Below are 1,393 nucleotides of genomic sequence, written 5' to 3'. Positions count from 1 at the left end.
CAAGCATTTTGCCACGGTTTTTACACACTTACCTTATGGAAACCTCAGAACAATCACGTCTTTTATAGATGAGAAAACTGAGGCTTTGGATGCCTCTGGGGGAACCTTGGGCAAGCAATAGACAGAGGAGCTCCTGAACTTAAGCAGTATCTGTCACCTCCCTACCTTTGGGTGTCTTCTGGTGGCCAATGTGCTGCTGTCAGGTCCCTCGCTGGCTCCCAAATTGGACTGGGGAGGCTCCAAAGCAGTGGAGTTGGTGCTAGTGCCACCTCCACCTCAGGATTCTCAGATCTGCAGGACGGCTTCACCCACCACATCCTGAGATAGCCCTGCTTGTGGCTGGCATTGGGGGACAGGGTGTTCTGGGCTCCTCTGCTCCTGTATATCGTGGCCTACGTCTTTGCTGACTTCACAGTCGTAGACATCAGAGCCACAGGCTAGCTCTGCAGAACCCTTGCGCCAGCCCTGATTGGGGCTGCCTTTGGTTCATATGCGACCGTTCCGTGTGGACCCCACGGGGTCTTCTCGGGCAGCATGGGCCTTCGCTCACCCCCAAGTTTACAGAGCTAAACACCTTTCGCCTCTTCCTGGCAAAAGCATTGCTGGCACGAGCAGCCCTGGGCCATGGGGTGGCACTCCAATAGCGGCCTGCACCTCGCGTCACCCCCATACCCTGAGCTGACTTGTCTGCTAATAAAACCTGCCAACATCTCTGGTTTATTTTAAAAGGGCCTAGATGCAACAAGCCTGAGAGTTGTGACTGGGGGAGGAGAGAGCACAAACGGATTCATCTTCCTTCCACCACTGCCCAACAACTGAAGACCACCAACTGAGGACCACCAACTGAAGAGAAACAACTTAGATTACCAACTGAGGGCACTAATTGAAGGCAACTAATGAGGGCACCCACTGAAGGCCACCAAGTGAAGGCCAGTTGTCCTACCAACCAGAACGCATCCTGGTTCAGAGGAAACAATCAGGTCCAGAATCTCCTGCATGCATCCCCACAAACTTGGAACTTGAGAGCACAGGCACATGGCTCACAAGGAACCTCACTGCCAGCGGCCCCACCCCACCTTTCATTCATTGCTGGCTGCTAGGACCTTTCAGGTTTCTCACTGTGAAGAAGTTCCTAGGGATCATCAACTTACAATGAATGATGCTAAAATTACTGAAACCAAATCTGCCTCGCGCAGTGTCTGGGATTCATAGAACCCTCTTCCCCCCGTAATCTCTGAAACATTAAGAAACTAGAAATAAGAGAGATTTCTGCAGGTGCTTTCAGAAAAAACTTTGCCATGAGCTGAGCCTACTCTATAATGTCAAGTCATATTTCATATATTCATATATATATTCAATACACATATATTAGATTTACATTTTTTAAAATAAC

At 49.7% G+C, this 1,393-nt stretch overlaps 1 annotated feature.

Moving 5' to 3' along the window:
* Positions 1–500: an enhancer, noted in NCBI's record as "H3K4me1 hESC enhancer chr10:26871445-26871944 (GRCh37/hg19 assembly coordinates)". NCBI's record gives its function as "activates a minimal SCP1, AML or CMV promoter by ChIP-STARR-seq in primed H9 embryonic stem cells {active_cell/tissue: H9 hESC(primed)}" and the evidence as "EXISTENCE:reporter gene assay evidence [ECO:0000049][PMID:30033119]".

This window comes from Homo sapiens, chromosome 10 (assembly GCF_000001405.40).
Source record: "Homo sapiens chromosome 10, GRCh38.p14 Primary Assembly".
Classification (NCBI taxonomy): Eukaryota; Metazoa; Chordata; class Mammalia; order Primates; family Hominidae; genus Homo; species Homo sapiens.
Note: the sequence above shows the minus strand (reverse complement) of the source record. Positions and strands in the feature narration are given on the sequence as shown.